The sequence below is a fragment of the Homo sapiens genome, chromosome 12 (genome assembly GCF_000001405.40).
Source record: "Homo sapiens chromosome 12, GRCh38.p14 Primary Assembly".
Taxonomy (NCBI): domain Eukaryota; kingdom Metazoa; phylum Chordata; class Mammalia; order Primates; family Hominidae; genus Homo; species Homo sapiens.
Genome location: NC_000012.12, coordinates 49366818 through 49381497, shown reverse-complemented (window position 1 = coordinate 49381497; position 14680 = coordinate 49366818). Strand labels below are relative to the sequence as shown.

General features: G+C 44.6%; 1 protein-coding gene across 17 annotated transcripts in view, besides 4 other annotated features; it reads right to left on the bottom strand.

Annotated features, from left to right (window-relative positions):
- Window positions 1-14646, bottom strand: part of SPATS2 (spermatogenesis associated serine rich 2) — a 160574-nt gene extending 145928 nt beyond the window's left edge. For 7 of the 17 annotated variants that reach the window (NR_120663.2, NM_001293285.2, XM_047429407.1 and 4 more), the window contains exons 1-2: window positions 13911-14036; window positions 10208-10270 (exon numbers count right to left, since the gene is read on the bottom strand). The gene's annotated coding sequence lies outside the window, so the exon portion shown is untranslated. Of the gene's footprint in view, window positions 1-10207; window positions 10271-13910; window positions 14037-14476 lie in introns of those variants that run through there. The other 10 variants (XM_047429406.1, XM_047429408.1, XM_047429404.1 and 7 more) reach the window with 4 other exon arrangements.
- Window positions 11521-11660: an enhancer, noted in NCBI's record as "active region_6315". NCBI's record gives its function as "activates an Ori minimal core promoter by ATAC-STARR-seq in GM12878 lymphoblastoid cells {active_cell/tissue: GM12878}" and the evidence as "EXISTENCE:reporter gene assay evidence [ECO:0000049][PMID:35858748]".
- Window positions 13757-13826: a silencer, noted in NCBI's record as "silent region_4437". NCBI's record gives its function as "represses an Ori minimal core promoter by ATAC-STARR-seq in GM12878 lymphoblastoid cells {active_cell/tissue: GM12878}" and the evidence as "EXISTENCE:reporter gene assay evidence [ECO:0000049][PMID:35858748]".
- Window positions 13857-13906: a silencer, noted in NCBI's record as "silent region_4436". NCBI's record gives its function as "represses an Ori minimal core promoter by ATAC-STARR-seq in GM12878 lymphoblastoid cells {active_cell/tissue: GM12878}" and the evidence as "EXISTENCE:reporter gene assay evidence [ECO:0000049][PMID:35858748]".
- Window positions 13927-14406: a silencer, noted in NCBI's record as "silent region_4435". NCBI's record gives its function as "represses an Ori minimal core promoter by ATAC-STARR-seq in GM12878 lymphoblastoid cells {active_cell/tissue: GM12878}" and the evidence as "EXISTENCE:reporter gene assay evidence [ECO:0000049][PMID:35858748]".

Here is a 14680-nt window from a genome sequence, read left to right as displayed (position 1 = left end):
TTTCTTGATTTGGGAGCATCAATTAAAAGCAAAGTATCAACACTGACAGAGTCAAATCTTTATTGGCCTTAAATACAGGTTTTGTTACATCTCCACTCCTACTTGGAAAAACTAGGCAATTTCCTTCCAATTCAGGCCACATGTGGCAAAAATAATTACAACTATAGTATTAGCTAATAGTTATTGAGTGCATGCTACATGTACTCATGGAGTGTTTTACAGCAATTAAAATTCAATGGTTATAACTCAACAAAAAGACAAGCCAATTTGAAATTGGGCAAAGGACTTAATAGACATTTCTCCAAGAAGATATACGAATGGCCAACAAGCACATGAAAAGATGTTCAACATCACTAGTCATTAGAGAAATGCAAATAAAAAGCACGAGATACCACTTCACATCTACTAGGATAGCTAAAATTAAAAACAACAACAACAACAACAACAACAAATGTTGACAAGGATGTGAAGAAATCAGACTCCTCATACGTTGCTGGTAGGAATGTAAAATGGTACAGCCGCTATGGAAAACTGTATGGTGGTTTGTCCAAAAGTTAAATATAGTATTATTATATGTACACTATGACACCAGCTTTTGAGGAAAAAAAAAAAAAAAGAATTACTATATGACCCAGCAATTCCACTTTTAGGTATAGACACAAAAGAACTCAAAACAGGTATTCAAACAAATACTATACATGAATGTTCACAGTAACCTTCTTCACAGTAGGCAAAGGTGGAAAAGACACAACTAACCATAAATAGATAAATATATATATATATTTTTTTTTTGAGGCAGAGTCTTGCTCTGTCTCCCAGGCTGGAGGGCAGTGGTGCCATCTCGGCTCACTGCAACCTCTGCCTCCCGAGTTCAAGTGATTCTCCTGTCTCAGCCTCTCAAGTAGCTGGGATTACAGGCGCACGCCACCACACCTGGCTAATTTTTGTATTTTTAATAGAGGCGGGGTTTTGCCATGTTGGCCAGGCTGATCTCAAACTCCTGACCTCAGGTGATCCGCCCACCTCGGCCTCCCAAAGTGCTGAGATTACAGGTGTGAGTCACCGTGCATGGCCAATAAACAGATTTTTTCAAATGACCTGGAAGGCATTGAAGGCAGAGTTGTATATCTGAACAACGGACTAGTATTTAGCCATAAAGAGGAATGAGGTTCTCGGTCAGGCATGGTGGTTTTCGCCTGTAATCCCAGCCCTTTGGGAGGCTGATGTGGGAGGTTCACTTGAGTTTGAGGCTGCAGAGAGCTGTAATCACACCACTACACTCCAGCCTGGTCAACAGAGTGAGATTTTGTCTCAAAAAAAAAAAAAAAAAGAGAGAGAGGAATGAGGTTGATACATGAGACCAGTGGTTAAGTCTCAACATTATGCTATGTCAGAAAAGCCAGACACAAAAGGTCATATATTGTGTGATTCCATTTATTTGAAATATACAGAATAGGTACATCCACATAGACAGAAGGCAAATCAGTGGTTGCCAGAGATGAGAGGAGGAAATAAAGAGTAAATATTTAATGAATACAGGGTCTCCTTTGGGGGTGATGAAAAAGTTCTGAAATAGGCCAGGCACAGTGGCTCATGCCTGTAATCCCAGCACTTTGGGAGGCCAAGGCGGGCAGATCACCTGAGGTCAGGAGTTTGAGACCAGCCTGATCAATATGGTGAAACCCCATCTCTACTAAAAATACAAAAATTAGTCAGGTGTGGTGGCGTGTGCCTGTAGTCTCAGCTACTCGGGAGGCTCAGACAGGAGAATCACTTGAACCCAGGAGGCAGAGGTTGCAGTGAGCGGAGATCATGCCACTGCACTCCAGCCTGGGCAACAGAGCAAGACTCCGTCCAAAAAAAAAAAAAAAAAATTGAACTAGATAGAGGTGATGGTTGTAGGACATAAAACGGTTAATTTTTGTTTTCTTTTTTTTTTTTTTTTTTGAGACGGATTCTCGCTCTGTCACCCATGCTGGAGTGCAGTGGCGTGATCGCGGCTCATTGCAACCTCTGCCTCCCGGGTTCACGCCATTCTCCTGCCTCAACCTCCTGAGTAGCTGGGACTACAGGCACCCGCTACCATGCCCGGCTAATTATTTTTTTGTATTTTTAGTAGAGACGGGGTTTCACCATGTTAGCCAGGATGGTCTCGATCTCCTGACCTCGTGATCCACCCACCTCAGCCTCCCAGAGTGCTAGGATTACAGGCGTGAGCCACTATGCCCGGCCAGTTAATTTTATGTTATATGAATTTCAACTCAAAAATAAAATCTGGGGCCAGGCGCAGTGGCTCACACCTGTAATCCCAGCACTTTGGGAGGCCGAGGTGGGTGGATCATGAGGTCAGGAGTTCAAGACCAGCCTGACCAACATGGAGAAACCCTGTCTCTACTAAAAATATTTTTAAAAATTAGCAGGGCATGGTGGCACATGCCTGTAATCCCAGCTACTGAGGAGGCTGAGGCAGAAGAATCACTTGAACCCGGGAGGCAGAGGTTGAAGTGAGCCGAGATCGCACCACTGCGATCCAGCCTGGTCGACAGAGGGAGACTCCATCTCAAAAATAAAATAAAATAAAATAAAAATAATAAAATAAAATCTGATGGGCACAGAGGCTCATGCCTATAATCCCAGCACTTTGGGAGGCTGAGGCCAGAGGATAGCTGAGCCTAGGAGTTCAAGACCAGCCTATGCAACATAGCAAGATCCTGTCTCTACAAAAAATTTTTACATTAGCCAGGCATGATGGCATCCACCTGTAGTCCCAGCTACTTGGGAGACAGAGGCAAGGGGATTGCCTGACCCCAGCAGGTCGAGGCTGCAGTAAGCCATGATCATGCCACTGCACTGTAGCCTAGGCGACAGGGCTAGACCCTGTCTCAAAAAAAAAATAAAATTGGCCGGGCGTGGTGGCTCATGCCTGTAATCCCAGCACTTTGGGAGGCCAAGGCGGGCAGATCATGAGGTCAGGAGATAGAGATCATCCTGACTAAAACGGTGAAACCCGTCTCTACTAAAAAATACAAAAAATTAGCCGGGCGTGGAGGCATGCGCCTGTAGTCCCAGCTACTCAGGAGGCTGAGGCAGGACAATCGCTTGATCCCGGGAGGCGGAGGTTGCAGTGAGCCGAGTTCGAGCCACTGCACTCCAGCCTGGGTGACAGAGTGAGACTCCGTCTCAAAAGAAGAATAAAATAAAATAAAATAAAATAAAATAAAATAAAATAAAATAAACATTAACTCAAAATAAATATCCCAGCACTTTGGGAGGCCGAGGCGGGCAGATCATCAGGTCAGGAGTTTGAGACCAGCCTGGCCAACATGGTGAAACCCCATCTCTACTAAAAATACAAAAATTAGCCAGGCATGGTGGCGAGCACCTATAATCCCAACTACTCAGGAGGCTGAGGCAGGGGAATCGCTTGAACCCTGGAGCTGGAGGTGGCAGTGAGCCAAGATCGTGCCATTGTGCTCCAGCCTGGGTGTCAAGAGCAAGATTCTGTCTCAAAAAATAAATAAATAAAATAAAACAAAATGCAACAATCATGACAACTCTATAGTAGGATTACTACTGCATCCATTTTACAGATACAGAAACATAGGCTCAGAGAAATTAAATGACTTGACCAAGGGAGTAGGTAGGGGAGTAGATTCAAAGCCAGATTTGTGTACTCAATGGCTTGTGCTTTTAACTAACATCTCATACAGCTTCCCTATTTTAATAAGTTAAAAGAAAAATATTGGAAATATTATACATAGAAATAACTATACTATCAATATTGGCCTGATCATATTATATATAGAAATATTATAACTATACTATCAATACTGGCCTGATCATAACTAACGCCATTCAGTAGATACACATTTCAGGCATCAGAAACTTCAGCTACCAAAAAGGTTAATAATATACTTGGGGCTATTTCACAATGGAAATAATTAGCCCGTACAGTGTGAAAGGATGATGTGTTCTCAGCTTTACTGCCCAATGAAAAATGTAATCATATAAAAATTGAATATAATCCTACTTAATGTTGCTGAAATGTTAAGATTTCAGGTAACAAGTAATCAGGATGAAAGTATCAAATATCCTTCCTTTTTTCAGAAGCTTTTTCATCAGGCTAGAGACCGAACACACATTTAGTAGTCGTTGTTACGCATTGTTCCCTGTGCTCCCAAATTACAATAATATCATATAATAATATCCTATAGTCTAATTTATAGGATCATCATAACATTATGGACTGGTAGGCTAATGACAAATGCCAAATATCAACTTTTAAAATTCCTAGATACAATACAACCTTTGAGTAATAACAGAGGTGAAAAACATTAACCAACTAAGCTTTGTTTAAAGCATTATCAACTTAAGAAATTAGACATTTCAACAAACCTAGTGTATTCAGTGTGTATATTCTAGATGAACAAAAAAAAGAAGAAAGAAAACCTCCTGTGTGCTGATAAGATTAACGAAACACTGGGCTGGGTGAGGTGGCTCATGCCTGTAATCCCAGCACTTTGGGAAACCAAGGCAGGCGGATCACAAGGTCAGGAGTTCAAGACCAAACTGGCCAAGATGGTGAAACCTGTCTCTACTGAAAATACAAAAATTAGCCAGGCACAGTGGCAGGAGCCTGTAATCCCAGCTACTCAGGAGGCTGAGGCAGGAGAATTGCTTGAATCCGGACAGCAGAGGTTGCAGTGGAGCTGAGATCGCACCACTGCACTCCAGCCTGGGCGACAGAGTGAGACTCCGTCTCAAAAAAAAAAAAAAAAAAAAAAAAAATCAACAAAACACCGGCCAGGTACAATGGTTCACACCTGTAATCTCAGCACTTTGAGAGGCCAAAGCCAATGGACTGCTTGAGGCCAGGAATTCAAGACCAGCCTAGGAAACATAGCAAGACCCTGTCTCTATAAAAAATTTAAAAATTAGCAGGGCATGGTGGTACGAGCCTGTACTCCCAGCTACTAGGGAGACTGAGGTGGGAGGATCACTTGAGCCCAGGATCTGGAGGCTGCAATGAGCCATGATCACATCACTGCACTCCAACTTGAGCGACGAAGCAAGACTCTGACTTAAAAAAAATCAGGGGCGGGCGTGATAGCTCAGGCCTGTAATCCCAGCACTTTGGGAGGCCGAGGCAGGCGGATCACCTGAGGTCAGGAGTTCAAGACCAGCCTGGTCAACATGGTGAAACCCCGTCTCTACTAAAAATACAAAAAATTAGCTGGGCGTGGTGGCGGGCACTTGTAATCCCAGCTACTCGGGAGGCTGAGGCAGGAGAATCACTTGAACCTGGGAGGCGGAGGTTGCAGTGAGCCAAGATTGCACCACTGCACTCCAGCATGGGCGACAGAGTGAAACTCCATCTTAAAAAAAAAAAAAAAAAAAAAAAAAAATCAGGCCAGGTGCAGTGGTTCATGCCTGTAATCCAAGCATTTTGGGAGGCCAAGACAGAAGGATCATTTGAGGCCAGGTGTTTGAGACCAGCCTGGACCCTGTCTCTATTTAAAAATTAGCAGTACCAGATGGTGAGCACCTGCATTCCCAGCTACTTGGGAGGCTGAGGCAGGAGGATCACTTAAGCCCTGGGAGGTGGAGGTTGCAGTAAGCCAAGATTGTGCCACTGCACTCCAGCCTAGGAGACAGAGCAAGACCCTGTCTCAAAAAAAAAGAAGTTTAAGCTACATGGCTGGCTTCATCTGCAGTGTTATGTCCCACCTACCATTCAGCTACAATACATTAACTTCCCGTCATTACATTAGTTACAGATGAGTTTCACTGTTTTCATCACATGTCACAAAGCTTCTTATGAAGGCATGCTATACAAAGGGCTCCTGCAGGACATGCAGGTAGATTACAAGAGCAATTTACTATAAAAATGTAACTAGATATCCAAACAAGGTAAGCAGAAGAGTCACTTCTGCCACACACTAATGTACATTTTGAATCATTTTTAACAGTAGGCCAGGAAGAGCCAGCAGTGGGCTAACCACACTGACATGCTATGATCAGAGACCAAGTGGATAATGTAAGGAAAAGTACTGCTCAACTACAGAGGGTAGCCTTAAAACAAAAGCAAGTTATTTAAAATAGGAAAGACTGCAGCTTTTACAAATTGGTCTTTTCAGTCCTATCCAGGTCAGTAAGAAGTAATATCATTGGCAGCATCTTCAAGTACAAAAGATATTTACTTATCTATCCTGGCTCATTCACAATCATATAATGGCCTCATCACAAACATCCTTCTCCTCCGTCCTAATACCCTTTAGCAAATTCTAAAGACCACTACCACCACACACACACACACACACACACACACACACACACACACACACACACACACACACTCCACAACTTGCAATCATACATCTTGTTAATTAAGTAATGTAAAAATCATCCTTCTTACCAGCAATCCAAGGTTGTTATTTATTATAGGATTTGGACTGCTAAGAATCCCTGTGTAACCCTTGGAGATCCCCCAAAACCTCCAATCAACCTATGCCTTTTTTTTTTTTTTTTTTTTTTTTTTTGAGACAGATCCTCGCTGTTTCCCAGGCTGGAATGCAGTGGCACAATCTCGGCCCACTGCAACCTCCGCCTGCCAGGTTCAAGTGATTCTCCTGCCTCAGCCTCCTGAGTAACTGGGATTACAGGCATGCACCAACACACCCGGCTAATTTTTGTATTTTTAGTAGAGATGAGGTTTCGCCATGTTGGCCAGACCGCTCTTGAACTCCTGACCTCAAGTGATCTGCCCGCCTCGGCCTCCCAAAGTGCTGGGATTACAGGCGTGAGCCACCGCACCCAGCCTTCAACTTATGTCTTAACCACAAATTAGTCATAGGACAATGGCTGCAGAAGTTACCTTTAAGTAACATCTATATCCTCAGACCCTGCAGAATGTTTCAAGGGCCTGCAACTACTGAAGAATCTGTATAGAAGATGGTATATATTTCAGGAACCCATTCCTATAGGCTGCCATGGTAGATGTGAACATGGGAGAGTAAATGCTGGCTTCTGGCCTATCCTTAATATCCAGTGGCTAAAGATAATAAAGTGAGCTGGGCACTGTGGCTCACACCTGTAATCCCAGCACTTCGGAAGGCCAAGGGCAGGAGGATCGCTTGAACCCAGAAGTTCAAGACCAGCCTGGGCAACAAAGCAAGACCCTGTCTCTACAAAAAATTTTAAAACTAGCTGACTGCCATGGTGTGTGCCTGCAGTCCTAGCTACTGAGGCTGAGGTGACAGAATCACCTGAGTTCAAGGAGTTCAAGGACGCAGTGAACTATGATGGCACCACTGCACTCCAGCCTGGGTGACAGAGCAAAACCCTGTTTCCAAAAAAAATAAAAATTAAAAAATAATAACATATTTATAAACTTCAATTTTTTTTTTTTATTGTTTAGAGACAGGGTCTCTGTTGTTTAGGTTGGAGTGCAGTGACATGATCATAGCTCACTACAATCTCAAACTCTTGGGCTCAAGCAATCCTTTTGCCTCATCCTCCCCAGAAAAGCTATGACTACAGGCGCCAACCACTATGACCAGCTAATTTATTTATTTATTTAGAGTTGGAATCTCGCAGTGTCGCCCAGGCTGGAGTGCAGTGGCATGATCTTGGCTCACTGCAACCTCTGCTTCCTGGGTTCAAGCAATTCTTCTGCCTCCCGAGTAGCTGCGACTACAGGTGTATGCCACCACGCTCAGCCAATTTTTGTATTTTTATTAGAGACAGGGTTTCACCATATTGACCAGGCAGGTCTAGAACTCCTGACCTGATGATCCGCCCACCTTGGCCTCCCAAAGTGCTGGGATTACAGGCTTGAGCCACCATGCCCAGCTCTAATTTTTTAATTGTTTGCAGAGACAGGGTCTCGCTGTTGCCCAAGCTGGTCTCAAACTCCTGGTCTGAAGCAATCCTCCCACCTTGGACTCTCAAAGTGCTAGGACTGAGGTCAAAGTGGCCTCCCACCATGCCCAGCCCCCAACAAACATCAAATCTTTAGAAATATTTCAGATTCAATTCAACTGAATGGCAATTGGACTGGGTTTCAGACAGACCACCTACAAAGTAAGTGTGGGCTCACAAAGTCTCCTATAAGGCCCCCAGAAAATGGCATATGAGCCTGAAGTAACTATGTCACCCAATAATATCATGAAGCAAGATGCAGGGATAATTAACTTCCATGTAACATTTAGAAAATGCAATGTGAGGCTGGGCACTGTGGCTCAAGCATGTAATCCCAGCACTTTGGGAGGCCGAGGCGGGTGGATCACCTGAGGTTGGGAATTCAAGTCCAGCCTGACCAACATGAAGAAACCCCCTCTCTACTAAAAATACAAAAAATTAGCTGGGCGTGGTGGCACTTGCCTGTAATCCCAGCTACTCAGGAGGCTGACGAAGGAGAATCGCTTGAACCCGAGAGGTGGAGGTTGTGGTGAGCTGAGATCACGCCATTGCACTCCAGCCTGGGCGACAAAAGCAAAACTCCATCACACACACACACACACACACACACACACACACACACACACACACACACACAAAACAGAAAATCAAATGAGAGGCTAGGCTCATCCTAAGAGACAGTTCACTGCAGCCATTTCAACCTATTATATTTGGTATTATGTTACAGCTTGCATACTGTACAAGGAGGGAGAGAAAATGGAGCCAAATGACTTCAACCAATCTTACTTTCTATTCTATGTATTCCAGGTATCCGCTCGAAATATTTAAAGCATACAGCAGACACGAAATTTTTTTTTTAATGAATGCAGGAAGATACAGAAGGTAAGCAGTAAGCAGCATCTCATACATGTAAAACATGTTTAAATGAAAAAAGTACCCTAAATTTCAATCAAAGGCAGCAAAGTATACTAAAAATGTTGACGCATTTTACATAACATATAGAGCATTCTTAAGACGATCATTCATATTTGCACATAACTGGAAAGAACTGTATATAACAAATGGTTCCTTCCACATTGGATACATGAAAACTGGGTAAAACATTTCCTTTTGAATCATTTCCACCCTAAGTGTCCTGCTAGCAATACAGAAAAAGTCAATAGAGAAAGCACCATCAAGTGCTACCTTCAGGTAGCATATGACAAAATCACCGCTTAAAAGTAACCAAGCCTCAGCAGGCCACAGTGGTTCACGCATGTAATCTCAGCACTTTGAGAGGCTGAGGCGGGTGGATCACTTGAGGCCAGGAGTTTGAGATTACACTGGCCAAAATGGCGAAACTTCATCTCTACTAAAAAGACAAAAATTAGCCAGGTGTGGTGGTGCATGCCTGTAGTCTCAGCTACTTGGAGGCTGAGGCAGGAAAATCGCTTAAACCCAGGAGGCAGAGGTTGCAGTGAACTGAGATCGTGCCACTGCACTCCAGCCTGGGCGACAGAACAAGACTGTCTCCAAAAAAACAAATAAAAAATAAAAGTAACCAAGCCTACTCAAAAAACTAAACATAGAATTACCATAGGATCCAGCAATTCTACTTCTGTGTAAATAGAAAAAAAAAAAAAAAACCTGAAAGGAGGGCGATATAGTTTGGATCTGTGTCACCACCAAATCTCCTGTCAAATTGTAATCCCCAGTGTTGAAGGTGGGGCCTGGTGGGAGGTGACTGGAATATTGGGGTGGTTTCTCATGAATGGGTTAGTACCAGTCCCCTGGGGTTGTTCTCACAAGATCTAGTTGTTTAAACGTGTGTAGCACTTCCCCCCACCTCTCTCTCTTCCTCCTGCTCCAGCCACCTAGACATGCCTGCTTTCCCTTTGCCTCCTGCCATGATCATAAGCTTCCTGAGGCCTCCCCAGAAGCTGCTATGCTTCCTGTACAGCCTGCAGAACCATGAGCCAATTCAACCTCTTTTCTTTATAAATTACCCAGTCTCAGGTATTTCTTTACAGCAATATGAGAATGGATCAATACAGAGGGACTCGAACAAGTATTTGTACACCAAAATTCACAGCACCATTATTCACAACAGCCAAAAGGTGGAAGGAACCCAAATGTCCATTGAGAATGAATGGATAAACAAAATGTGATGTGTACATACAATGGAATATTATTCAGGCTTAAAAAGGAATAAGATTCTGACATATGCTACAACATGGATGAATTGTGAAGATATGCTAAGTGGTACACACCAGACACAAAAAAGTAAATATTGTATGATTCCACTTACATATGAGGTAACCAGGGTAGTCACATTCATAGAGACAGAAAGTAGAATATTGGTAGCCAGCAGCTGGGTAGAGAAAGAGAAACAAGGAATTATTGTTTAATAGATATAGAGCTTCAGTCTGGGAAAATAAAAAAATTCCCAAGATGGATGGTGGTGATGGTTGCACAGCAATGTGAATGTACTTAATGCCACTGATCCATACACTTAAAAATGGTTAAAACGCTAAATTTTTTGTTATGTATAGTTTACCACAATAATTTTTTTTAAGTAAACAAAAAGGCCAGGTGAGGTGGCTCATGCTATAATCCCAACACTTTGGGAGGCCAAGGCGGGTGGATTGCTTGAGCCCAAGAGTTGGGGACCAGCCTGGGCAACACAGCGAAACCCTGACTCTACAAAAAAATACAAAAGTTAACTGGGCGTGGTCAAACAGTGAGCCATGATTGTACCACTGCACTCCAGCCTGGGCGACAGAGTGAGATCCTTTCTGGGCAGGTGGGAGGAGGTTGGGGGGGAGTAAACAAACTAGCCAATACCAGCTACTCTGGAAGCTGAGGCGGGAAGATCTTTTAAGCCCTGGAGTTTGAGGCCAGACTGGGCAACATAGCGAGATCCTGTCTCTAAAACATAAATAAATAACCAAGAACAACTGTCAAACATATTGAGAAAAGTGGAAGAGTCTGTAACAGGCAAGCTTCACTGTCATCCTCCAGAGTCTAGATGACTTCGTTGAAAGTGAAGATCCCAGAAAAGAAGGGATGGACATGCTATTTTCATGTTGCTGCAGATATACACTAAGCAACTGAGGAAGCTGAATTATATTCTACAGGTCATTTGGTAATATAATGAATGGACTGTACTTCCTAACAATTACATCCAAAAAATACAAGCTTTTCCTTCCAGTTTCCAATGAAAGCAGCAAGACTGAAATAATCAGTTACACACATGAGAAGCCAGGTATATCTGAAAGAGTGACTTTTAGTTCCCAGTTTTAATATGGTGACCCTACAATGGGAAACTGAAAGCAGCAATTTTTAGAATAGTATACACAAATTTTCTTCACTGCCATTATAAAGTGACTTTGTGTAAGTTACTTTTAGCCCTTCTGAGCCTCATCTGAAAAATAAGGATAATACTTACAACTAACAGATAAGGTAATAATGTACACTGAGTTCAGCGCCTGGAATACATAAATGCTCAACAAACGAAAATTCCCTCCTGTCTTAGCCTGATCGGCCTCCAGGGGCTATGCTCATGTTTTGGCCATAACCTGTGGCTCCTCCCTCAGGCCCCAGCTGTTTCCCTCAGTTCTAGTTGTTTCACTCCTGGTTTCTAAAAGGATCCTATCTATATTTAGAGGTAATGCTAGTACCAATTGTGGGCTCAAGGGCACCTGAGTACTGAGCAGTTTTCAATTGTTTTCCAGAGTTAATTGGTTTGGCTCCACAACTGGCTGTCTTGACTTCTACAAGTAAGAGTGCCACGTATGCACAGTACCTCAGCAGTATAAGACTAAACAGAAAACTAAGTGTGGTCGCAGGACAAATCCTAAGCAAAAAGATGTTTTTAGCCCTATTTATCAGGATCCCAGACCTTTGTTAAATCACAGGAGCAGTAAACCTTCAATGAACTCCACAGAGTAGGCTACAGCCTACTAACTTAATCTTCATCTAAATCACAGTTATCAGACCCAAGTTTCAACCAGTTCATGCTGCTTTACTATAACCAAGATGAGGGTGAAGCAGAAAGAGCAAACAGGTAGTGAAGATTTTAAAAAAGGCATCCGATACAGCTAGGTCTGAATAAAGCTTTGTTATTTACTAGCTCTGTGACCTTAGTAAATTATTTAACCTCTTAATTTACAAAATATGAAATAATTGTGAGGATTGAATGAGATAATACATACAAAAAAATCTTAGCACCTTGGCTAGCCCACTGAAAGAGGTCAATTAAAAAAGAGGCACATTAGGCTGCGGTGGCTCACGCCTGTAATCCCAACACTTTGGGAGGCCAAGTCAGATGGATCAAGAGGTCAAGAGTTCGAGACCAGCCTGGCCAAGATGGTGAAACCCCCGTCTCTACTAAAAATACAAAAATTAGCCAGGCGTGCTGGCGGGCACCTGTAATTCCAGCTACTTGGGAGGCTGGGGTCGCTTGAACCCGGGAGATGGAGGTTGCAGTGAGCCGAGATCACGCCACTGCACTCTAGCCTGGGCAACAGAGCAAGACTCCATCTCAAAAAAAAAAAAAAAAAAAAAAAGAGGCACATTGTCACTAATGAGAACACTGCACTCATTTCTTGCTTTGTTCAATTTTCATAACATCTAAGAAAAGTAACAATTTAAATCATTATTTTTGGACCTTTGTAAAGTAACCTAAATGCTACCATCCAAGACCTAGCTGAGAAATACAAACTGATTAATGTCCATAAATCTTAGATGAGTCAGCAAAACTTAATGCCCAACAAATAAAAGGCTTAACATGGACTACTTAGGAGCACACAATGGTCATTACAATTTCAAAATCGGCAATTTTCTATCTAGTACAATCACAAATTTGGTCTGGAAATCCAAATATTAAGGAAATGCAAACATCATAATCAATATTCCCAAATCACCTTAATTGAAACTGGAAGGTATGAGGCAGCCTATTTGAAGTTAACATCAAGAAATAATTTAAGGCAGAACCCCAACTCTCTCCCACAAACACAAAACCAGTAGCAGATGGCACAAGAACATTTCTCAGTGAGAAATTGCAATTCTAACAAAGTACAGGTAACTTAATTTTATCCATCACCTTTTGGTCAAACTGAAAACAAACAACCAAGCTTTTGGTTCTCTCCAAAACACTGAAATCTGCATTATCACTGACCTAACTTAAAGCAAGATATTTTTGGTGATCTGTCCTCTCCTGCTTCATTAACCGTAGGTAAATTAGGAACAGTAGCCTGCTAAACAGAGGGGAAGTAAATATCACAGGCATGTTTTATCAATAAAATGGACAAGCGATAATCAAATTATTTAAAGAACGGCTTGTACTCCTTAACAGAGGGACAAGCTTGAGAAAGATCCACTTTCTAAAAGAACCTAATCATTCTGGATGAATTATGAGAAAAATATCACTGTAGTCCAAAACTGACTGAATCTACCTTTCTGCTTTAATCCAAGTCCTAACCACATCTATTTTATGTCTCTGCGTCTGTTCGCCTGATTTTCCATTTCGTCTCCCCCTTCAATTCCAAGAACGCCCTTCTCTCCCTTATTTTCAAATCTCATTATTGCCCCCGAATGCTAAGGACCTCGCACAGCCACGGAGGTGACCTTACGCATCCCTACTGCATTCCTAATTCATTGTACTTCTCATCCCAAATGATCCTATTCTTTCGTTCTATCTCGCTCGTTGTTTCTTAAAATCCAATACCCCACACACGCTCACGCCAGAGTCCCCCCCACACTCCATTGTTTCCCCGGCCTATCCGTCTGGAAACTCCCCAACTCCGACGCGGGTGTTTCACCCGCCCCACAGACCCCAGGAACCTTCCACCCTCTGGGCACTTCGGGCCTCTAAGGGCTCACATCCCCCTCCTTCCCGTCCCCCCGCCCCCAACTACCCCCTCCCTCTTTTTCCTCCCTCAACCCGCTCCCCGCACCTCGGCGCCCTCTGAGCCCCCGCCAACCCCGCCACCCAGCACCCTTAGCCTCACCTAGCCCAGGCCCCCGCAATCGCCTCGTCGCCCCAGCTCCGGGCTCCGCGTCCCGGACGCTCCCGGGTCTGAGAAGAGGAAAGGAGATCCTCCACCTCCCCTTCTAGAGCCACCGCCGCCGTCGCCGCCGCGCTCCTCCCCCAGCTCTCTCAGAGCCGGACGCCGCCCCGCCCCCACCGCCGCCTCCCCACTTCTCTCCTGGGCCGGACTGCAGGATGCTGCCGGAGATCCAGCAGATCACCCCGACCCTCGCCCAGGCAGCGGCTCGCCCCGCCCCGGAGCCCTCTCGGGCGCGTGCGCGCCAGCCAGCCAGCCAGAGCTCAGGGCGCGTACTCGCGCCGGCGCGAATCCGGCGCGCCAAGCTCGAGGCTGTGGCAGCCAACGGGTGCGCGAGCGCGGCTCGAGCGGCGAGACGGCCCGCGCACCGGAGACCGAGAAGATCGGGGAGAGGCGCGGGGCGGCGAGAGGCGGGCTCCGACCAGTCGGGTTACCGCTCTTCTCGGGGCCCGGTCCCTCGCGTCTCGCACCGTCCGCAGGCTCGCGCGCCACCGGAGACTGGGAATTACCGGGGAAAGGAAGAGACTCGGGGAGAGGGTTGGGGACAAAGTAGATGGAAGGGGAAAACGGGTGGGACGCGAGCTCGCGTCCGCGTGCAGCACAGCTCGTACCCGGCGGCATCGGTTAGGGACCCGGCGCGCGCCGGGAACGGAGGGCCCGAGCTGAACTGACGGAAAGAGCCGAAACTCCCCCGGAGGTGGCCGAACGCGGGC